Raw genomic sequence first — 24114 nt, forward strand, 5'->3', positions numbered from 1 at the left:
GCTAGTCTCAAACTCCTGGCTTCAAGTGATCCTCCACCCTTGGCCGGCCTCCCAAAGAGCTGGGATTACAGCTGTAAGCCACCTTGCCCAGCCCATTTTTCACTTATTTATAGTGTTCATTATGTAGCACAAAAGTATGAGACTTATAAATAACAGGACCAGTATCATCTGAATTCCAAAGTCAAATGTAACTCTCAACTATTGTAATTTGAATGTGATGATGATACACTCATAGTATCTTCAACCCACAGTGCCTAATTCTGAGTGGGAAGGAGGAGAGGCCAATGATCACCTTCAAAGGAGGGTGACAAGGGAGCAGGAGGACAGGGAGGGGCTAGACACAGGTGATGAGGAGGAAAGCAGCTTCAGCAAATGTGCGAGTGTGGGAGGACAGAAGTCAAGGAAGTTCCCGTCCAGAGAGGTATCTCCCGGCAGGGACATCCTGGGGGGCAGAACAGGTCGAAGCCATGACAAGGAACAAGATGTGATACTTCTGGTGGCTGGTGGAGGAGTCGGGTGCAGGTCAGTGGAATTGAGGAGGTCAGGGCGTGAGGCTGCTGGCCAGGGGGACTGGCAGTGTGGGGTTTGTGGCCAAGCAGCCTCCTAACACCCTCAGTCAAGTCTCTCAGTGCTATTGAAGTTGCTTAAAAGCAAAACTGCCTTTCTTAATAAAAAGTGTCCTTTTATTTATATTTATAAAAAGTTTTTATTTTATTTATAAAAAGTAAAAAACTTTCCACTACACCGTGTTTCAGCTTCTGTGGCTGACCCAGCTCCAGGAGGAGGCCTGCTTGATTAGAGACTAGGATAAAGAAAGGCCCTGGGCAATGAAGCAGCTGGGCTCCCCAGCGGTGGGCCTGTGGGAGACTTGCCTCGGAGGGAACCTCAGCTCCCCGAGGCGCGGGGGCACAAACTGAGCAGACCCAGGAGCCAGTCCTGAGTGAGGGCTCCGGGAAGATGGAGAACAGGTGCTGCAGAGACTGTGGCTGGAGATTAGCAAGGAATGAAGAAAAAAGACTCCTTTACAGCAGGAAGGGCCCTGCCGATATATGACTGATACTGTGTTTAATTGCCACAATTTGGCACTTTCTTCAAGGGAGTTTTCTGCGGGTCTGTGTGGTGACAAAACCCATGGTGTACTCTGCTGATGAGTGAAGGTGGAGGTCCGTGGAGTTGAGGAGCCAGGCTGCGGCGAGTTGTGTGTCCGTGGTTATCAACAGGGATGTTTTGGCCAATTAGGAGCGAGGCCAGTTGGACAGTTGATAATTGAGAGTTATTCAGGTGTGAACATTCTTATTTAAAAGGGTAAGCGTATCAGCAGCCCAGGGCTGCTATAACAAGGTCCCACAAACTGTGTGGCTTAAAACAGCAGGAATTAATTTTCTCACACATCTGGAGGCCAGGAGCCTGAGATCCAGGTGTTGGCAGAGCCACCAGTCCCCTGAGACTCTGGGCTGAGTCCTGTGCCTGTCCCTAGCTCCTGGTGGTGGCCATCCGTCCCTGAAGTTCCCTGCTTGGAGCGGCATCACTCTATTATCTGCCTTTTTTTTTTTGGTATGGCATTTTAATTTTTTTCCTAGAATAATTCTTGTCCTTTCTGTGTTTGCTGGCTGGCTTAGTTTTTTTTTTTGTTTTTTGTTGTTTGTTTGTTTGTTTGTTTTAATGTACCCTTCACTAATCCAGCCCCATACATTCAAACAGACTATAAAACTCCTCTCAGTGGTCCAATACTTCAGATAAGCTACCACTCCATTTTTTTTCTGGCAGTACCGCCCTCTGTCTCCCTGTCCTCCTCTCCCTCTAGGCCACTTCCATAGCCGTCTTCCTGTCACTGTCATCCTGGAAACCTCCCTTGCCTCTCACCTCTGTTGGATACCGTGATTCGAGAACCCATGTCTTCCTGTCTCCGGGTGACTCCCCCGTTTTGGTGGAGAATATACTCCAAGAAGTTCCTGAGAAAAGGTGCATGAAAGATCCATTTTTTTTTGAGACCCTTTAGGTACAAAAGTACCTTTAAAGTCACTCTTGATTGATGGTTGAAGGCAGCAATCATCCTCCAGATCATACTATGACTGTTGAGAAGTCTAATGTCTTTCTGGAACCTCTCATCAAGTTCACTGAGTCATTCCTCAGCTCGTGTTCAGGCTAGCAATTCATCCACTGAAAGAATTATTTGATTTGATATCATGTTTCTAAATTTCTAGCTTTTTCATTAGATTCTTTCTTACGGTTTCCATCTCTGCTGAAATTCCTCATCCCTTCATGCCTGTTGTCTACCTTTTCTACTGGATCTTTTAACAACTTAATCATAGTCTGTATTTATTTACTTGTTTATTTTTGAGACAGGGTCCTGTTCTGTCACCCAGGCTGGAGTGCGCTGGTGTGATCATAGTGCTCTGCAGCCTCAAACTCCTGGGCTGAAATGATCCTCCCACCTCCATCTCCCAAAGTGCTGAGATTATGGGCATGAGCCATTGCACCAGCCTTCGTCTGTATTTTAAAGTCTGTGTGTGATAGTTACCGAGTTGGAGTTTTGTTGTTCCTGTCATTACCTTCAGTGCACCGTGGGTTTCAGATACCCCTGTGACAGGCTGCTGTCATGCCTGGTGCTTAGAGAGGGACTCAGGAGCCAGAGGGTTTTCTCAGTGTTCTTGCTTGCTCCCTTTCAGCGTTCGGCCATCCCTATACCACAGCACACAGGGGGCTCTCTCTGCTCTTGGCCCTCCCAGAGCAGTAGATTGCTGTCGTTTGTTACTCAGAGCTGGACTTGCGGTGGGGGCTTGGCGGGGCTCTCTGTTGTCCTGTTTCAACCTCGGTCTTAGGCAGGCCCTATGCACCTGGGCCTCAGGGACGGAGCTTGTTAAGCATTCCTTCGCCTTCTCCCCTTGGCCACCATGCTGCTTGTATCTGCATTTGGATTTGGGTGGGAGTTTTCTCCCCCACCTCCATCACCTGCAGACCTCTTCCTGTTGTAAATGTAGGATCCTGAACCCCAAATATGTTCTCCCGGTCCCCCAGTGGTATAGGGTTTTTGCTTCCACCATCCCCCAGCAGTGACCCAGCCCTTTGTCTGCATCCTGGGAGGGGCTGTCTCACCTCTCTCCTTGAAGCAGATGGGTCTGGCCTCTACTCTTTCCCCAGAAGCAACAGGCAAGAGGGTCTACAGTCCCTGCACCAGTAGCTTTTACGTCTCAGCAGGGAAGCATCCAAGGAAGTGGGAGGGGGTACCTGCTCCTCAGCCTTGCCGCAGCCTCTGTGCTCCTGCCCTCTTCCTGTGGTCTGGGTGTTTGTAAGGATTCACTGTGGAGCCCATGGAAATGAGCTCACCAGTAAGCACAGACTCTCCTTGCACCACAGGCACTGCATGTGCTTGCCCCCACTTGGCCTTTAAAAACGTGTTAAAATTTTAGCCAATTTCTTCTTACCCAATCGGCAACAATCTCTCTCTTTGTCCTCTGCTCCACCAAAGGTTTGTGTGTCCATCTCTCGTTGGAGGGGCTGATGCCTCTTTGAAATCCAGTTTACTTGGTTGCCTTATGAACTTAGTTCTCTTAGGGGCTCAAGAAACGTTTATTTTCTCATCTTTACAGTAGGGAAGACACCAGTGCTGCTTTCTACATCCTAGGCAGACGTGACTTCTTCCAGTGCTATTTCAACTCCATGTCCTTTGTGTCTGACCTCATTTGTCCTTGCTGAAAGCATTTAGGATCTTCTCTGGAATGATGATGTTCTAAAGTTTCAACACAATTTTTCATGGTGTCAGTCAGTCTGTTTTTATTTATTGGGAAATTTTTCTTACCTCCATTTTTTCCTTAAGTCTGCTCTACCTAGAACTCTAATTTTGGACTTCCTGGATTTCTTATTCGATTTTTAAAAATATTTTTTCTCCTATATCTCAGAGCTCATTTATCTTTTTTGTTCTGCTTTCTGGGAGATCATTCTTATCTTATCATCCTATCTAAACAGAGAGAGAGATTTCCTTAAATGCCTGAAGCCAAAAGAGAGGCGGAAAACGTCCTTCTCGGATTTTGCCGCTTGATTCAGAGTAGGGCACTCCTTCGGTGCTAGCCAGGCCACCTGTGACTTTACTGTGGCCTTCACATCCTGCTTTGTAGACTTCCCCCCTACACTCCAGATCCACCAGACTGTATTAGTCCCTGGCACCAGCAAGCTGCACCAGGAATGTGGCCACCATCCCCAAAGCCACTACCACTAGGGGATGGGACCGTAGTCAGGTAGGGGAACGGGCCACATTGCTGTTTTATTGAAATCCAGCTGCCTTTTCTTCATTTTTCAGTGCCTTGGTTGCTACAAATTTCAGATTAGATTCCAGAGTCCCCCAAAAGCTGATACCAACAGTCTTTGGCAGCTATGGCTGTTTCAGTGGAGGGACTTTTTCTTTCGGTGCCCGAGTCTTCCTTGACTGTGATGTCATGCCTCTATTTATTTTGTACATTTCTGCTCTCATACTTTTAACTTCTCAGAGCTTATCTTGTTTTCTAAATGTTCTATTTTCATAACATTTCTTTCTTAGTTCATGAAAATGATACCCATCTTTGAGGATATTAATTATAGTGGAAGGTTTGGGGATATTTTATTTTCTTGCTTCCTGAATTGTTTTTTTCCTCTGATTTATTTTTTTCAGTTTGTTTTATCTTTTCCTTTAAGAGCATTCTTGGAGAATGCAGTTGACTGTTAATACTGAGAAGTCACATAGTAAAATGTTGCTTGGAGTCTCTGTGCGTGGCAGGGCTTTGGCTGGTGTCTCTACAGCGGGGTGACTGGCGGAAGTCTCATAGGAGGGCTAGACTTTTCCCTGGTCAGCACCTACACAGTCACGGAAGCCCTTGTTTTCAGGATGGCTGCTCCCTGTCTTCAGCAGTTCCTGGTGTCCCTGAGTCCAGAGCCTTTCAGGTTCAACCTCACTGGAGAACCAGCTACCATTCCCTTCAGAAGGGGAGGGCAGTTTCCTGGCTAGGGGGACACCGCTGCTCCGCGTATGGCCCTCCAGGGGGGCCCCTCTCAGCTCACTCCATCCCTCTGCCTTCGAGGCCCTGTCCCCACAGCGACTCTGCAGCAGGCACGGGAGGAACTCACCTGCAGGCAGTGAAGGTGCGATTTCTGCCGCCCTGCTGAGGTGGCCACCACCAGCACCCGTTTCCACTTTCCACATTTCGTTGCACTCTTGTCATCTGCTGTTGCCTCTTCACCTGGTCTCTATCCTTGGGGATTTACACACTTTAAAAAATAATTTATGATCATTTTAATGAGGCTTGGGGAAAAGCAGAGATTAAAAGAAGTTATGTTTAATCTGCCATATGTCCACTATTTCTTTAATATCATTAAGAAGGAAAGCTGATGATACTAATAAGTCAGGCGAAACAGGAATTTATCAGTGATTTGATAAAATAGAGTGACTGTGGCATTGCCGCAGGGTGTGGCTATTCACCCCTTCTTGTTATGTGATTGATCTTTTGTTTTCAAAATAAAGTGTAAAGAATTAAGAGTGACAGAATAAATGTCATAGAAAAGCTATCTGAGCCTAGTAGTCAACAAAGAAGTGAAATGACTTTGATTACAGCTCATTCCTTTTTTTGATGTAAACCCTAGTATTTACCAAAAAACTATATTGTAGATGTATGTATAGTGGGCATAATCTTCCTTCCTCTTCACTGTTATTTAATAGCTTAATACCTAAACTCTTGCTATGATTAATATAACGGACATTAATTATTAGACAATTAAGATACCAAAACCGAAATCCTCTGATGCTCAGCTCAGTATAAGCTCAATTTTCACTACGTATAAATTGGATCATCAGCTAGACAGTCTCAGGAGAATTTATTTAGTCTAAGCATTGTACACATACGTGACTAGATGCTGTTTCAGCTCTTCCTACCTATCAAACAAATACAGTGAGCCTGGAGGTTGCTGGGAGTTGTAAGAGTGGGGTTGAGATCACATTCCCCTTTGCATAGTGAAATATCCCGTTTAATGAAGTTGTTTCTTTTGGAGAAATGTCCATTGAACTGCTGCAGACTCTGGGTTTGCATTGGTGAAAAAAGGTGAAGGAACTCTTCCTTGGCGCCCTTGGGAGCCTAGAGTTAGCGGAGGAGGCGGGGGTCCAGCCAGGTTTCAGGGCGGCCTGGTGTGTTTCCCCGGGAAGCATTCACGGGAGCAGGCCCAGGGCTCATCCCGCGGGGGCTGGTCCGATTGCGCCGGCTGCGCAGCGCTTCCCAGAAACCGCGCTTGGTGATGTTGGAGGCCTGGATCGGGCTCTGGTGGAGGGTGTTTACCACCAGGCCCCACGCCCTGGGTCTTGCCCTCTGGAACGGCAGCAGGCGCGCTCCCGGCGAATCTGCCTGAATCGCCGTGAATGCGGTGGGGTGCAGGGCAGGGGCTGGTTTTCTCAGCCGGTCTTGGCTTTTCTCTTTCTCTCCTGCTCCACCAGCAGCCCCTCCGCGGGTCCCATGGGCTCCGCGCTCAGAACAGCCCGGAACCAGGCGCCGCTCGCCGCTCGCTGGGGGCCACCCGCCTCTCCCCGGAACAGCCTCCCGCGGGCCTCTTGGCCTCGCACTGGCGCCCTCACCCACACATCGTCCCTTTATCCGCTCAGACGCTGCAAAGGGCCTTCTGTCTCCGGGGGTAGGACCGCAGACCCTCTGGTGGCCTGCCCGCCGCTGACCCGGCCTCACTCGGCCTCCCGCTGCACTTCTCCTGGGCTTCCGCGCTTCCCCGCTGCCGAGACCTTTCCCCAGCCGTTCCTCACTCATCCCTTCACCTCTGTCGCGCCCTAGGGTCTCGGGGCCTTACCTGACTCCCACCCTTCCCCTGAGCCCTCCGGCCCCTCCATCCTGTCTCCTGCTTCCCGCCTCTGCACAGCACTTAGCGCCGTGGGTGTACTGTGGATTTCACCCACTTGCTTTTTCTCTGACCTCTCCCACCAGGATATGCATTCCAAAAGGGCAGGGTTTTGTCTTTTCTGTTTGTTGAGACATCCCTAGAACAGTGAATGGTGCATTGGAAGAGCAGAGGAAAGCGTGGAGGCCTAGAGGTGACCCCAGCTCCCAGGACAGGAAGGACCCGGGAGGGCTCCTCCTGGGCCTGGTCACATGCGCTCACCCCAGGGAGGCATCCACTAACACGCTCAAGACTGCTTAATACTTCGTTGAGGACGGCTTGCCAGAGGCTGACGGCACAGTTGCCAGGAGGGAAGGCAGGAGAGATGGACAGATGGATACTGACTGTCCTTCGTGTGCCACCCTGAAGGGTGCAGAGCGTGATGTCCACATCAACTCCCCTGTGCTTTTAACACCACTGTGGCACAGGCGGGGTAGATAGTATTATATCTATTTATAGGTGGAGAAATGAGGCTTGAGAGAGGCTAAATGATACTTCCAAAGTCATGGAACCAGTGGGAACAGAAAGCCAAACCCCAGAGTCCTTTCTGGCACCCCATTCTACCAAAGGGAGAACTGCGCCATTGAAAACGGTCTTGTGCGTTACCTTTAGCGTGTATGATACAGGCTGCCCGCTCCTCATTAGAGAGAAGGTAGTGGGGAGTAGTCACCCCTCTTTTGGTTCACCCCCCTAATCTAACCCAGTATTAAAATAGGCTAAAAAGGTCATGATCTCAGAGATAGCATGAAATCCCAGGGGTGTTATTTTGAGTGCCAAGTATGTGCCAGACATTGTTCCAGGCACCTTACACTCCAAGCCTCAAAATAACCATGCAGAGTAGGTGGTGTCACGCCCATTTTATAGACGAAGAGACTGAGGCTCAGCGGGGTTGGATTCACTGTTTAAGTCTCCACTGCAGGGTGGAGCCAGGTGAACTCAGATATGCCTGGCTCCCAAGCCCATGTTCTTTCTGCTCACCAAGCTGTCCCCTTAAAACAACAGCAGGATTTCCAAATCAGGGTATTGTGCCTTTAGCACCCGTCACCTCTTGCTGGGTGTATTAATGTTCAAGAAACACAAGAGAAGGGTGTTTCCAGTGTGGTTAAGAAATAGACCCTCCTCAAGGCTTCAGCCAGGCTATAATTATTCTCAAGCACAAAATGTGGGGCTCTCCTGCTTGTCAAGTTTGGTTGTTTTTTGTCTTCTCACCCCATATTTTATTTTGGATTCTGTTTATATTTGATGTGTCAAACGGAAATGTCCCTTTTAAAGAAGAATCCTATCATTATCAGGGGACTGGATGCTCCTGAGAAGAAAATTAAAAGTCATCCTTTAAGATGGGTAGTGATAGTAGAGAATATTGATCCTCAAGGCTTTTGAGAGGACACACTGCAAGTGGGTGGTTTGTTTTCGGTGCTGCTGCAGTCCGGGAGATCTTGCTGGGACCTACCCAACAATGTGATTTCTAACATTAGGTTGCTTTTTCTAGTTCTTCTGATGAGCTTTATGGCAGAGAACGTCCTTGTATACATTTTGGAATGAGCAGTTCACTATCATGAGGCTTCTGCACATATTGTTAAGTAATCCTCGGAAGCAATTTGGCCCATAGTAGTCATTTGCCTGCAGTGTTTTCGCTGGCCCCGGGCAGTCTGTCCTGCCTCAGTTACAGGGGAGAGCACACACAGCGGGTGGCAGCCAACACAGTTTACTGTCACCACAGGAATGCAGATTTCTAGCAAGAAATATAAAATGGAATGTGCGTGTTTAAGTGTCCTTCAGGCATAGGCATGTTGCCTCATTAAAAAAAAACTTTCTTAACTGATGAGTTTACTAATAGCTACATAGACAACTACATATTTTAAATGCCTCTCATCCAAAATTTTAGAACCATGTTTGTTCATTCATTTACTCAACAACCATTTTTAATCTACACATGCCAGGTACTGTGCTAGGCACTATATATACAGTGCAGAATATGATAGACATGTTCCTCACTTCCTAATGCTCACCATCTAGCAGGTAAGACAGATTTCATGAAAGTAGTCATTTAGGCCGGATGCGGTGGCTCACACCTGTTATCCCACCACTTTGGGAGGCTGAGGCAGGCGGATCATCTGTGGTCAGGAGTTCAAGACCAGCCTGGCCAACATGACCAAACCCCATCTCTACTAAAAATAAAAAATTAGCCGGGTGAGGTGGTGGGCATCTGTAATCCCAGCTACTCAGGAGGCTGAGGCAGGAGAATCACTTGAGCCTGGGAGGTGGAGGTTGCAGTGAGCCCAGATCATGCCACTGTACTCCAGCCTGGGCGACAGAGCAAGACTCCATCTTAAAAAAAAAAAAAGAAAGAAAGAAAAAGAAATTAGTCATTTTAATTACAGTTATGAAAGATGAGCTAAAAGACAAGGACAGGGTCCCATGAGAATGTGTGACATGGAAGAATCTAACTTCCTGACTTTACAGATCAGGAAATGGAGGGATACAAAAGTAAGGGATAGAAAGGTCTGTCTGTTCTCATTCCATCTAAATCTCTCTATTATGCAATGAAGTATTATATTCAACCAAATTACACAATTTTTAATTGCACAGAATCTAAGAAATTTATTCATTTCTTCAAATGGTAAATAATAGAACTTGAATACAATGCATAGGAAGCAATTCACACCAAGATTCAGATGTTCTGCTCATATTCTTTAGGAGAGCTATGAACTTAAATGTATACAAAAGCACCCATTCACACAAACACATATGCACACATCCATGTATATTACAGGTTGTTATGGAGTGATCTCTAAGATACTATGAAGTGGAGAGGACCAGGCAGAAGCTGTATTTCTTTGAATGTGCCTCCTTTTGTAGACTGGACTGTGGAACCATATAAATACTTTACTTAATTATAAAACAAATTTTAAACGTTAAAATCAATCCCTAAAAATGGAAAAGAAAAAGAAACAAATGCATCTGAGTATTCAGATGGTGACAGAACCCCACATCAGAACCATCTAAAGCAACATTAAACCACAGTAATTTGACTATGGGATTTACATGAAGGGTAACATGAACTTCAAAAAACAACCAAGAAAACTTGTGTTTTCAGTAATGATATTGTTTATGCTAATGTTGGTATTGTCATTCTGAGATTGTTGTGTGATGTGAGACAAAGCAAAGAAGTAATCACTTTGGTTGTTAAGAACCAGGATTTTTGTATGGAGAGAGGTAAGATCAATGAGGTTCAGTAAGAAAAGCCACCACCCTGAATGAAAACAGAAAGCACCAGGATGAACTCATGATTCATTTTATCCTAAAAAAAAAAAAAATCTAGATCTACCCTAAAAATGATGATCCATCCAGTAGAAACAAGGTGTCTTGGTGCTTGGAGAGTGGGCTCTAAATAGCATTTCCCAGCAAAATGAAACAGGGCTTCCCAGAGAAATGGCTGAGTCCCAGCCTGGGGCAGGACATGTGCAAGAAGGACCCTCAACATCTTGTCACACCAGAAAGCAAGGAAGTCATTAGAGACAGCTAGGGCTGTGTTAGGACTCAGGAGTCAACTTCTGAGACCCCCACTGGTCAAGGATGGCACAACGTGAGTATCAAAAAGGTGCTGACTGCAACAGATAGAAACATACCAAATGGGTCTGATCTATGAGTTCCTAGTGATACTGGAAGATCATTGATTACCTTTGGGAGACACTAGGGGGCCAATTCATTATTTTGAAAACTCATAAATAAAGGGAAAGAGTCAAACGCCTATCCTGCCTCTCCTACATAAAGAGAAAACTCAGACATATGTGCCCAGCTGTTTCATCCTGCCAAACCTGTGGCTGGAGTCACCCCAAAAGTGCTGGCAGGGGAGTTCCTACAAGGGAGAGCCCCAAACCATCCTAAGGTGGAGTTGGTTGGGATTCCAAAGAAAGAAGCACTAGACGCCAGGGTGATCAGTCCACAGCATTTATTAGGGGAACTCACAGAGTAGGCTACAACGTATCCTTGTGAAGGACAGCGAGAGGGAAGAAGCATTCTACCTAGGGAGGGCCAGGGCATGGAGTTTATGTGAGGGTTTAGGGAATTTGGCTCAGGGCCAGGGCCAGTTTCTCTCAGTACTTTGGACAACAACGCAGATATCTTATTTGGTGCCTGCAAATGTTCAAGGGCCCAGTTTGGGTTCAAGCCTGCAGGGGAAAACCTGCAGCTAAGAGGGTCATAGAGCTGTCAAGACGTTCTGTGATTTTTGGTCAGGACATGGAAAGAAAGTTGCGGGTGGTGGGGAGTAGGGAACTGGGGAACCCTAGGCCAACAAAAGAACCAACACCACCTGTGAAATAACCCTGCCAAATATGTGAGCCTGATCCCAGTTAGGCATCTTGATCTATACCAGTTTACAGGAAATACAGATAACAGAGGAACGTGTTAAGTGACACCACAGGTCTACAACTGGGGAAGTGATCAGCAAAGCACAGACTATGGGAAGCTCTGAAAGTTAGAAGGAAAAACAAGGAAACACATTGGCAGGAAACTATAGATTCAAAGAGACATGAGAGGCTTATTAGCAAATCACAGGACAGGGGCCTTATAAGAACCTCGTTCAAATAAATAAAGGGTTAAAAATTATAGCACAATTAGGGAAATGTGAACACTCACTGGATATTTAGTGATGCTGAGGAAATATTAAGGTGAGATTACATTGTGCTTTTATTTAAAAGAGGGAGTCTGTGTCTTTAGAAATATGTATGGATAAAATAGTCTGTTGTTTGGGACTTGCCTCAGAGCCATCTAGGGAGAGGCGCTGGGGGCACCAAGCATATGAGATTGTTCATAAGTTGATAGTTGTTAAAGCAAATTGATGGAAACATGGGAGGTCATTATTCTCCACGTCTGTATATATGTATTTGAATTTTTCCACATTGAAAAGTTCGTTTGTGCAATTTCAAGAATGTACTGCAAAGAATATAATGTCTCAGTATAAATTATGTTTGTGACAATCATCATGATCAATAGAGGTAAGAAACCAGAGACATTTGAGGTTTCCATTTCCAAACAGCTAACTACCTCTTGCACTACAAAGCTTTGCATTGGTTGGTAAAAAATTTTCCCAGCTCCCAGAAGCATTTTCTTCCAAGTACAACATTTTAAAGATGGGAAATTATGCTTTCATTTCTGGCCATGGCGGGATCACTGGTGGAGGACCAGCCGTCCTGCCAAAGGCAATTATAAAACAGGAGAAACCGCAGAACTGTGACCTTGAGAAACAGGGACATGCGAGGCGGCCCTCAGAGCCTTGGCTTTCTATGTGGAGGGACTTTTCTGCCACAGCATCAGAGAGTGGAGTCCAAGTGAATGGTGGTCTCACTGAGCTGAACAGGCAGAAACTGGAGCTTGGGGTGGGTGAGGCAGCTGGAATGTGTGGGCAGGTGCTAAAGAACAGGGAGCTAAAATAATGGGGAGTGGCTGCTCAGGAGTCTATGTGGAGATTCACTGTTTCCTGGCTGATGGCCGGTCTGTGCAGGATGAGATTCCATAGGCCTAGCAAAGATGGCTTACTCTGCAGATGAGCCATGAGCAATGATACGAGAGGCTGTGCAGTGTTGGCAGATGTTTGGAGATCTGCTCCAGCCTAAGTGGAGACGCCTTACTGACCTGTGTTTTCAGTTGAGACCCCAGAAAGGTCATTCCTTAGGAGAAAGACTACATCCCAGAGCAATGGAAACACCCTATGATTAAGTTCAGAGCCAAAATAGACCCAACCTAACAAAGAATAAAACCACACCTGGCAGAATCAAAAAGATATGCTGCCAGGAAAATCCTCAATACCCATTAATAAAAGATGGCATAATACATGTTCCCTACAAAATAGCATCCACAACACTTAACATATGATATAAAATTACCAGACTTGTGATAAAGTAGGAAACTGTGACCCATAATCAAGAAAAACAGCAGTCAATAGAAACAGACCTCAAGATGATTACATGTTGGAATAAGCAAACAAAAACTTTAAAAAAATATGGAAAAGTTTAAGGAAAGATAGAACTGGAAAATTTAACATCTAAGATAAAAACATTCGCTGGAGGGGTGTGGAACCCATGAGATTGCACCTTGCTTGCCTCCTTCCCCAGATGATATAATTGAGTGTTGGCCCCAACTGCTGCACTTTGATGCTCACCCCTGAATTTGCACAGAAGCTGTGCCTCTCACTGGATGCTCCCTGTCCACGGAATCACACTTTTTAAATGCTGAAGGGACAAACCCTGCCAATCTGGACTTCCATATTCAGTGAAAAATCATTCAAAACTGAGAATAAAATAAAGATGTTTTAAAAAAGGTTGATAGTATTCATCACAAGAAGACCTAGCCTACGAGAAGTGCTAAAGAAAATTCTTCAGGTTAAAGAGAAATCAGAACAGATGGAAACCTGAATTCTCAAAAAGGAATAAGAAAACACCAGAAAGAATAAATATGTGTGCAAAAATAAAAGAATATATTTTTTCTCCTAATTTTGTTTTGAAAAAAACTGCTTATAGCAAAATAATAACTTTATATTCCAGGATTTTTCTTTTACATAGATGTAAAATATGTGATAAGAAGAGCACAAGAGATGGAGGTTAATGCGGTTTTACTGTTGTAAGATTCTTATGTTTTATGTAAAATGGTACAATATTAATTCTAAATAGATTCTCTAGAGTAAACACTAAAACAATACAATTGAAGAATTAAAATAGAATATTAGAAAGCATTTGATTAGCCCAAAAGAAGGCAAGGAAGGAAGAATCAAGGATCAAAACCAGATGGGAAAACAAGAAAACACATAACAAAATGGTCAACTTAAACCCAACGATGTGAAAATTACATTAATGTAAGTGAACTAAACACCCTAATTAAAAGGCAGAGATTGTTAAACTATTTAAAAGAAATACTCAAATATATATTGTCTAGAAAATATGTACTTTAAGTACAAAGACAGAGCCAGGTGGACAGAAAAGGGAAAGGAAAATATATACAATAAAAACAGTGATTACACAGCATCTGATGTGGCCATTCTAATGTAAGAAAAAGTAGCCTTCAAGAAAGGAGTATTAACAAAGATAGTGACATTTCATCAGGAAGATATAACAATCCCAACCGTGCATATGCTTCAAAACAGAGCTTCAAAAACATGAAACAAAACCTGGCAGAATTAAAGGAGGGGATAGATAAATCCACAGTCATGGCTGGAGATTTTAAATGGCTTTCTGTAAATGGCAGAACAACTAAGCAAAAGTATCTGAAAGGGTCTAGATGATAACAATCACACATCAGCCACCTGAACGAATTGGCGTTTATAAAGCATAGCAGCACCAAAGAAAGAGTGCACCGTCTGTTCAGGTGTACACGGACCACTCATCAAGATAGACAACGTGTTTTGCAATAAAATAAGTATCAACAAAATTCAAAAGATTGAAAATCTTACAGAATATGTCCTTTGACTACAATTAAATTAGAAGTCAGTAACAATAAGTTTCTTTTCTTTTCTTTTTTTGTTTTTTTGAGACAAAGTCTGGTTGTGTCACCCAGGCTGGAGTGCAGTGGCACAATCTTGGCTCACTGTAACTTCTGCCTCCTGGTTTCGAGCGATTCTTCCTCCTCAGCCTCCCAAGTAGTTGGGACTACAGTCGTGTGCCACCACACCTGGCTAATTTTTTAAATAGTTTTAGTAGAGACGGGGTTTTGCCATGTTGGCCAGGCTGGTCTTGAATTCATAAACTCAAGCAATTTGCCTCCTCAGCCTCCCAAAGTGCTGGGATTACAGGCCTGAGCCACCACGCCCAGCCCAAAAAATAATTTCTAAATAACCCATAGGTCAGGAAGAAATCACAAGGGAATCTATAAAATACCTCAAGCCAAGTGGTAATTAAAACTCAACATATGAAAATTAATAAGATACAGCTAAAACAATGCTTAGAGGGAAGTTAGAGCTTTAATACTTGTAACAGAAAAGAGGAGAGAATTAAAATAATGATCTAAATTTATTTCTTAAGAAGTTGGAAAAAGAAGAGCAAATTAAACCCAGTGTGTGTAAAAGGGAGGAAATGATTAAAATAAGAGAAAAAATAAATGAACTATAGAATAGCAAACTTTAGAGAACTGATAAATCTCTAGCAAGACTAATCACGTAAAAAGAGAGAGAGAGAGAAAAAAACTACTGGTAACAAGAATGAAAAATGGGATATCATCACAGTTCTTACAGACATTTACAGAATAATAAGGCAATAATATTCAGACAACTTTATGCCAATATAGTTGACAATTTATATTAAATGTGTAAATAACAAAAAATTTAAAATTTCAAAAATTGTAACAAAGAGAAATGGAAAATCTGAATGGTCCTCTATCTATGAAAGAAATTAAATTTGTATCATAGACTTAAGGAAGAAATATTACCATCCTAACACAAACTCTTTAAGAAAATAAAAGAAAATAAAAGAGGGCCGGGCGTGGTGGCTTACACCTGTAATCCCAGCACTTTGGGAGGCTGAGGCAGGCATATAACATACGGTCAGGAGTTCAAGGCCAGCATGGGAAACCCCATCTCTACTAAAAATACAAAAAAATTAGCCAGGCGTGGTGGCATGCGCCTGTGGTCCCAGCTACTTTGGGGGGTGAGGCATGAGAATTGCTTGAACCTGGGAGGCGGAGGTTGCAGTGAGCTGAGATAGCACCACTGCACTCCAGCCTGGGTGACAGGGTGAGACTCCATCTCAAAAAAAAAAAAAAAAAAAGAGGAGGGAACAATTACCAAATTGTTCTTTCATCTTTGATGTCAGCATTATCTTGATACCGAAACCAGATAAAAATATTACAGGAAAAGAAAATTATAGACCACCGTGTTCCTCATGAACATAGTGGCAAAAATCCTTACTAAATATTGGCAAATTGAACCAAACAATATACAAAATGAGTAAATCTTGATGCTAATATTTTTAATAAAGTAAGTCTCAGGAGTTGTTGGATCAATAGCAATATTATTTTAATATATTAAAATATATGAAATAAATATATTAATCAATATATTAAATTATATATTAATATATCACATTGTATGTATTTTAATGTATTAAAATAGTCTATATTTTAAAATATAATCGACACATGACTATTGTCTGTAAGCAAGAAAAATTGGAAAGTTTTACCTAAATCATCTCAGTAAAGTGAAACTCAAGTCTGAAATGCAAGGCTTTTGAAATCCTACTCCTGCATCTTTGGGAAAACTCTGTAAGCCTGTGCCCTGGCTCTAACATCTTGGAATTGAGAGACGGGAAGCAACTTCATAGATGATATACAGAATGTACTTTGTCATTGTTGGAAACAAAGACAGGTGATAGCCATTGATGGGCCTGAGTGAAAATAGGAAGTACTCTTCATATTCCTCCCAGAGCTCAACATTTCTCACACTAGCTCACTCAAAACAATACTTTAAAAATATGGTGAGTCTTGTTTAAATTAAAAAAAAATAAATTTAGAATTGAGATTCTTTGGGAAGCTGTTTTCCCACTATCTGGCCAACCTGCCACTTTTTATAGTTGCCACAGGACTGTTTTCGTGGATCCCTGTACACAACAAAACACAGCTGGTGATTGCAACACCTCCCCCTCCTCCCTTAGAAATGGAAGCATGACTGGCTTAGTCTTTATATTCGTATCCATAATAACAGAACAGAGAAGCATTCTTACATTGGGTTTCTTCTTTCTCCTCCTTCTTCTTCTTTTCTTTCCAATTTTCCCATAATTTGCATAGCTAAATTTCTGAGTCCCTCTTGTTACTAAAAGGGCTATTTTTAATGGTATTCCTCCCCTTGCTGCTATTAATCTGCAAGCAAATCTATCAGAAATAAGGTAGGAGTGGTTTTACCATTCTCTCTATTAATCAGTGCCCAATGCCTTTCCATAATGAACCAAGGATACGTGACTCAGAGTCTAATAGCATTTATTGAGCACCTATCTCTGCAGCAATGTCTTAGGTATTCCCAGATGGTGGGGGCATACTGAAGAAGCATCAGATGTGGTACCTGATTCGAGGAGTTTGGGGAGATAAAACACACAATTGAGGTAAAAGTAGTGAAGTTCCAGATGACGCAGGTATTGATTCTGGGTGCAGTATGAATTCGCAGAATGAAGAGATGCATGTGGGCCCATGGCATTAAACCAGGTGTGGGTACTATGGTAATGCCCTTTGCAGATCTTCAACTGCAAGCACGTTCTTGATGGAGAGCCCAAGCAGCTGGGCTCTGAAATCCAGAGCAGTGTTTGTCCCAAGGCCAAAGCTGCCCTCTGGCTGCTCTGAGCCAGTGACTGAGTGAACACTGTCTAGGACATTTCCACTCGAACTGCCTTCCCTGTCTCCTTCACTCAGGGTCAGACTTGCAGATGCTCCCAGCCTTCTCTGGCTCCATCCTCATTTCCTGTCAAAGATATTTTCCCTAATAAAATCCTGGCCTGCGTAATCCCATCTTGGTGTCTGCTTCTTGGAAGACCCGGATGAACAAACAAAGCTTTAGGTAATGAGCCAGACTGAGATCTCACCTGGACAGATGGGCAGGGAGTGGTTCCAGGGCAGGACATGTGAGAGAACTGAACCAAATCATAGAGGTGGGCTATGGCCATGTGTCTATGACAGACAGAGAGGAGCCATGTTGGAGGCTCAGAGGGTACCCATCGGGAGCTTTGGGAAATGAGCACGTGGACCAGACCATGGGGTAGGGGGTTCATGGTCTGGTGTCGAGATTGGACTGTATGACACTTGGGGTTCTTGGAGAAGAAAATCATTGTACTAAAGTAGCACGTTTGGAAGGATAGCTGGAAAGCAGTAGACAGTATGGATTACAGTAGAGTGCCATGGGAATCAGAGTCATCAGCTAGAAGGCCGATTTCATGATCTGCGCCTGAAGGCACAAAAGGCTTAGTTAGGCAAGGTTGGTGCGGTGAAGAGAAAGGAGAGAGATTTTAGAAGTGGAACCAACAGGACTTGGGGCCTGAGTGGGATGAGGGATGAAGGATCCTAGGTTTAAGGTGAAGAGGAAACATGAATTCAAAATTGGGTTCCCAGGATTCTAGCCTGAAGGAATGGAGGACTCATAGCTCTGTTGACCAAGATGAGAAAATGGGTATGGAAGAGGAAACTGCTTCTATGGGGGAAAGAGAATGAAGAGTTCTGTTGTGCATATGTAGTGCTTGATGGAACAGCAATACGTATAAGCAGAAATGTCTGGTAGATGTTGGGAAATTCAGAGTGCTTGCTAGACTGCAAATATACTTTTGGGAATCACCAGAATTAAGATGAAACTGTAAGGATGGCACAGATGGAAAAGGGTAGCAGTCCCAGAAACAAAATAGAAAGATTTGGGGAAAAAGATGAAACCACCTCCCTTTTGGTAACAACCGCTTGGAAGCCTTCCCTGTCCCTGTCTCCCCATGCTTGCCTGCTGTCAGGCTGCAGAGTGCAGGTGACCTGGGCAGGGAGGACGATACCTCCCTCAGATCCGTGGCCACAGTCACATTTGCCACTTACGTGGCCAAATCACAGGGAGGGACGCTGACCTCCCTGTTCTTCATGTTCCTCTGCCTCAGGTTGAGCCATCACTCACTGAGCCTCTTTACATACATGAGATTCTCTTCCTGTCTGGTCTCTTGGACAGCCATGGAACCCTAAGAGTCTGCACTGCTCCTTTCTAGAAAACTAACCCTCACCATCTGCTCTTACACCAACCTCTATCCCTTCTGTCATTGTCAAGTCCTAGCCTTGCCTATGTCCTTGTCTTCTGCCAGTCACAGCCAGGTGTTTACACTCTGTTCCCCTCTGATGCCCCATGAAATATTTATTACCAGCTGTTAATACTCCTAGAAGGATCTAGTTTGGCGAAGACCATGATTGGGAAAATGCAGGTATTGCAAGAGGCGTTTGCGTGACTCAGTAAGTGGGGTGATGCCTTCTGTCACTCTTCAACCCAGAGTTCATGCGGCATGCAAAGCTATGTGGCTTCCTAAAGGACCTCATCTTTTTTCCAGCAACTCTGATGTATACTGTATCTCCCAGGCAAATACCATGTGCTTCTGCTTACCACACACAGCACCGTCAAGACAATGGGTTCACATTAAATGGGTCATTCTATCAGATAAAACTTAAATCACTTGAATATTTTGGGAAATCGTTAAGAAATTTATTTAACATGTTTTCATTCAGAGCACAATGCTAGGAGCTATGGGATGATACAAACCTTTACAGGGTTTAGTTTAGGACATGCAGGATACAGACATACATATACACACTTGGACTATGTGACAATATGCTTTCAATCAGAGCAGTTCTTTCTTCTCCCTGTAATTACAACACTGTCAAAAAGATTCTCCCTCGTATTCATTTTCCTGGGGAGAAAAAAAAAATCAATGTCCACAGTGACAAATCCAGCAAACTAACGTTGAGTGTGTGCTCACAGGAGCTAGTTTTCTCCATACTTACTTAACTTTTCTGGGAGATATTTTGATTTATTTATACAACCCCCAAAATCTGACCCTTTCAGTATTCCTTGGGATCAAGGACAAGCCTGTGGTATTTGGATCAGTGCAGTCTCTTTGCATGGCTGCTGGCAGTCAGGTCATGCATCAGCTGTGGCAACCACTGAGGGGCCAGGCTGGGACCTCCTAGGGTCACTGGAGGAGCAGCCTTCCCCTTTGTTTGAGGAGAACTTCAGAGAGATACATGGGTTAAGAGTGAAACAGGGACATGGGTTGGAGTTTCTGGAGTCCTTTTCCTTGCTCTTTTACAAACACATGGATAAATTCCTAAGTCAGCTCAGTAAACCTTGAGGTACAGTAGACCCCACCATTCAAACTAGTGAATAGATTGCCTCAACCCCCAAGAACACAGTCATCTACAGGGAAGAGGAAGCAGGGAGAGAAGCTGAGCTGCTGGGAGCCCATGCGCTCTAATCCAGAGGAAAGGGCTGACCCATCTCCAAGCCCTCAGCTGGGAGCCTACTGATTTTGAGTTATATGTAAAAGTAAGCTGATGAATTTAACATGAGCTATTGTATCTATAGAGCCCAATGGAGAGACTGTCAGAAGCTGAGGGGGTGTTGGTAGAATTTGACAGGTGAACTGAAAAGAAGTGGTAAAATTAGCAGACTGACCACCTCTAATTCTGGGGCGTGAGTGGAGAGGTGGATGGCCTAGGCTGCCGGGGAGACCCCCAAGGGCCTCATGCCTGCAGTGCAGCCCAGGAATTGGGATCCATAATGGTGGCCCCGTGCCATCAGAGGGGGGATTATGTCTGGAGTTATCTGTTTGAAACTCCAACAATTCATATATGTTGGAAATATTTTTAACAATATGAACCTAATTATTTTCATTATACTTAGAGATAAACATGAATTCTCTTGAAAATGTGCTCAGGTAAAACAGCTCATTCTTTAGTGAGGCCAGCTGTATGGACAGGGCCCCATCATGAAGGCCATCGTATGCTGTGGTGAGGAGGTTATGTTATCTTGTTAGCCAGGAGGAGTTGTTGAAGAATTTTGAGCTTGGGAAATGAGGTGACCAGATCTTTTTTGGGGGGTGGAGGGTGGGGGGGGTGGTGGTATGGGGGGGAGTTTTTCAGAGAAAGGAAGAAGATAGTGAGGTCTAGAGCTCTGGAGGCCAATAAGGAGGTTTTGTAATATTCCAGGAGAGAGGGTGAGCTCTTGAGCTAAGGTAGTGGAGCGGGAACGTGGAGGAGGATGTAGATTTATTTGGGTGTTGTTGGAACAGAACCTGATGACCAATTAGATGTGAGATAACAGAAGTATGATTCAGGCTGTTTTGGGCAACTGAGGAAATAGTAGTGAGATCTAAGATAGAGACGAAGATGGAGAGGCTGGGCCATGGTGGCTCATGCCTGTAATTCCAGCACTTGGGAAGCTGAGGTGGGTGGATCACTTGAGGTCAGAAGTTCGAGACTAGCTTGGCCAACATGATGAGACCCCATCTCTACTAAAAAAAAACGAAACAGGACACCAGGGAGAGGATGATGAATTTGGTCCTGGGGTACTGAGTCGGGTGAACCTGTGAAACATCTGGTTGGGATATAAGTGTAGGCTGGATCTAGAACACTGAATTCCCCCCCAGAAGAAATCATATTACTATTACATATAATGTAATAGGTTTGGAAGGTAGTAGTTTATGGCTGGTTGATAATTTCATGTGCATGGACAAGAAGTTCCAGGAGAGCTAATACAGAACTGAAAAAGGAGGAATTTGTCAGAGGCCTGGGAAAATATTTAATAACTCAGGTCCTTGGATTAGCAATGTAAGTAAAATTCCCTATAGATCCAAGTTCCCTGGAACCAATGAATTATCTCCCCTCACCCTTGCAAATGGTTATCTCAATTTCAATGGTTAACTGCCTTTCCCTATACCTTTTAACGTTTTACGTTACACCAAATGCTTTTTGTAAGTAAGTGAGGTATAAATTTTGAACTATAAGTAAAAATGTCCGTTTCTTGACTCTGGTAGTTTTTAGGGCTTTGTTTCTAAATTTTATGACTAGAAGTGGCTTATGCTGATTTCCTGTTATAATGATTTTTTATTTGTAAAAGTTTTAATACCCTCCATTTAGCTTACGCCTTAAAAGGTTATCAAACATGATTTTTCTAAGAAGCAGATGCAAGCAACACTATGTAATAAATATCTTGGTTTTCCAGTTCCTTTCATATTTCCATTCCGGGGTTTTCAAAACTAACAAAATTCAGCAAAACTTCTTCTTTATATGTATTTTTAATCCTAGTGTGATTATCACATTCATGATGCTGTTGACCAACAAAAATATTTTCCCACTGTATTTGCATTACTTTAGGGTGCCCTCCCCTCCTTTCCCCTCCCCTTCTCTTCCCTTTCTTGACAGAGTCTTGCTCTGTCACCCAGGCTGGAGTGCAGTAGTGTGACCTCGGAACTGCAACCTCCGCCTCCTGGGTTCAAGTGATTCTCATGCCTCAGCCTCCCAAGTAGCTGGGATTACACGTGTGCACAACCACACCCAGCTAATTTTTGTATTTTTACTAGAGACAGGGTTTTGCCATGTTGTCCAGGCTGGTCTCAAACTCCTGACCTCAAGTGATCCACCCACCTCAGCCTCCCAAAGTGCTGGGATTACAGGTGCAAGCCACTGTGCTGGGCCTTTCGCTTTTCTTTCTATGTAGTTTTAGATACAGCTGATGGCCATTCTGTTGGTCTGAAGTCTCATAATTGTATGTAATAGTAATACAATTTCCTCTGGGGAGGAATTCAGTGTTCTAGATCTACAATGAAATGGGTCTTGATAATTACCCACTGAATTGTTGAAGGTGTAAAACCCCCACCCAGCTAAGGATGATGTGCTGGTCTGTCTGATGCAGAATCCAGTCCTGTGGCAGATGCTCCAGTAATGTGAAGTTCCCAGGTCTTGAATTCCCTGTGATGGTTAACATTGAGTATTATACCTGGTTGTTCACTTTGGAAGGAGAAATGGCCAGATGTGTAATTATATACCATTTCCTGGGCCGTGGCCAATGGAAGGTCAAGGACTTGGAAGGAACACGATTGGAAAATTGGTGACAAGAAAGTCTGGGGAAGAGGTACATGGATAGACTTCTCTGAGTGGGCAAAAAATTTGAAGATATATGTGTCCCCTGTGAATGTTCACCAAATGGTGACCTCAGTAGAGGAGGATTTTAACAACCAGTTGGGCAGAACGACCCATTCTGTGGATACCAGCCAGCCTCTCCCCAGCTACTTATGTTATCACCCAAAGGGCTTACAAACAAAGTGGCCATGGTGGTAGAGATGGAGCTTAGGCATGAGCTCAGAAACATGGATTTCCACTCACCAAGACTGACCTGGCTACAGACACCACTGAGTGCCCCATCTGCCAGCAGCAGGGACTAATATTGAGTTGCACTCCTTGGGGTGATCAGCCAGCTACCTGGGGGCAGATTGATCATATTGGACCCCTTCCATCATGGAAGGGGCTTTCTTTTGTTCTTACTGGAATAAACACTTATTCTGGGTATGGATTTGTCTTCTCTGCATGCAATGCTGCTACCAGAACTACCATCCATGGACTCACGGAATGAATGCCTTACCCACCCACCGTCATACTATTCCACACAGCATTCTGACTGAGGAACTCACTTCACAGCAAATGAAGTACAGCAATGGGCCCCTGCTCATGGAATTCACTGGTCTTACCGTGTTCCCCACCATCCTAAAGTAATCGGCTTGAGACAACAGTGGGATGACCTTTTGAAGACTCGGTTGTAGCACCAGCTAGGTGGCAATACCTCACTCACATGGCTAGGGCAAGGTTCCCCAGAAGGCTGCATGTGCCTCGAGTCAGTGTCCTGTATATGGTGCGGTGTCTCCCAGCATGGACAGGTCCAGGAATCAAGGGGTGGAAATGGGAAATAGACCAATCACTATTACCTTTGGAAGCCTATTAGCAAAAAATGTGCCTCCTGTTTCTACAACCTTCTGGTCTGAATGACTCAAACCATTCAGGAATGACAATTTAGGTCACCCTTCCAGGTCAAACACTACGCCCAGCTGAGGAGCTTGCTGAGGGAAATGGTAATAGAGAATGGGCAGTGGAAGAAAGTAGCTATAAATACCAGCGACACCATGGGACCAGTACAGAAACAAGGACTGTCACTGTCATGAGTATTTCCTCCCTATTTTGTTATGAATATGTTTGCATATATATATTAGGCAAATTATTTGTTTTTGTCCCTCTCTTATCACTTTAACACATAACATAATATTGTTAATAGTGTTGATTTTATACTATAGTATTGAAGTATTAACTTTTCATCATAGTGTTTAAGTTATGGGCTATCAAGGAGAAGAGTAAACATCCCCAAGGACCTTGCATCCTCTTCTGGGAAAGAGTTGGTGTATTTTTGGGTGTATGCAGGATAGCTCTATCATGTGAGGCTGAAGCATGACCTTGTTATTGTCTTTATTCGGAGGTTAAGCAAGGTTTAAGGAGATGGGCTGGATGCCAAGTTGACAAGGGGTGGGCTTGTGAGGGTTAATTTTAGGTGTCCACTTGTTGGGCCACCGTGCCAAGATATTTGGTCAGACGTTCTTCTGGATGTTTCTGTGAGGGTGTTTTTGGATGAGATTAACATTTAAATTGGTGGACTTTCAGTGAAGCAGATTTCCATGATTTGAGTAG

At 44.0% G+C, this 24114-nt stretch overlaps 1 long non-coding RNA gene across 1 annotated transcript in view; it reads left to right on the plus strand.

The window, feature by feature from the left end:
- Positions 1 to 416: 416 nt before the first annotated feature.
- LOC105370102 (uncharacterized) overlaps positions 417 to 24114 on the plus strand; it is a 30534-nt gene continuing 6836 nt past the window's right edge. The window contains exon 1 of the long non-coding RNA XR_941720.2: positions 417 to 522. This is a non-coding gene — a long non-coding RNA (uncharacterized LOC105370102). The remainder of the gene's footprint in view (positions 523 to 24114) is intronic.

This window comes from Homo sapiens, chromosome 13 (genome assembly GCF_000001405.40).
Source record: "Homo sapiens chromosome 13, GRCh38.p14 Primary Assembly".
NCBI classification, from domain to species: Eukaryota; Metazoa; Chordata; class Mammalia; order Primates; family Hominidae; genus Homo; species Homo sapiens.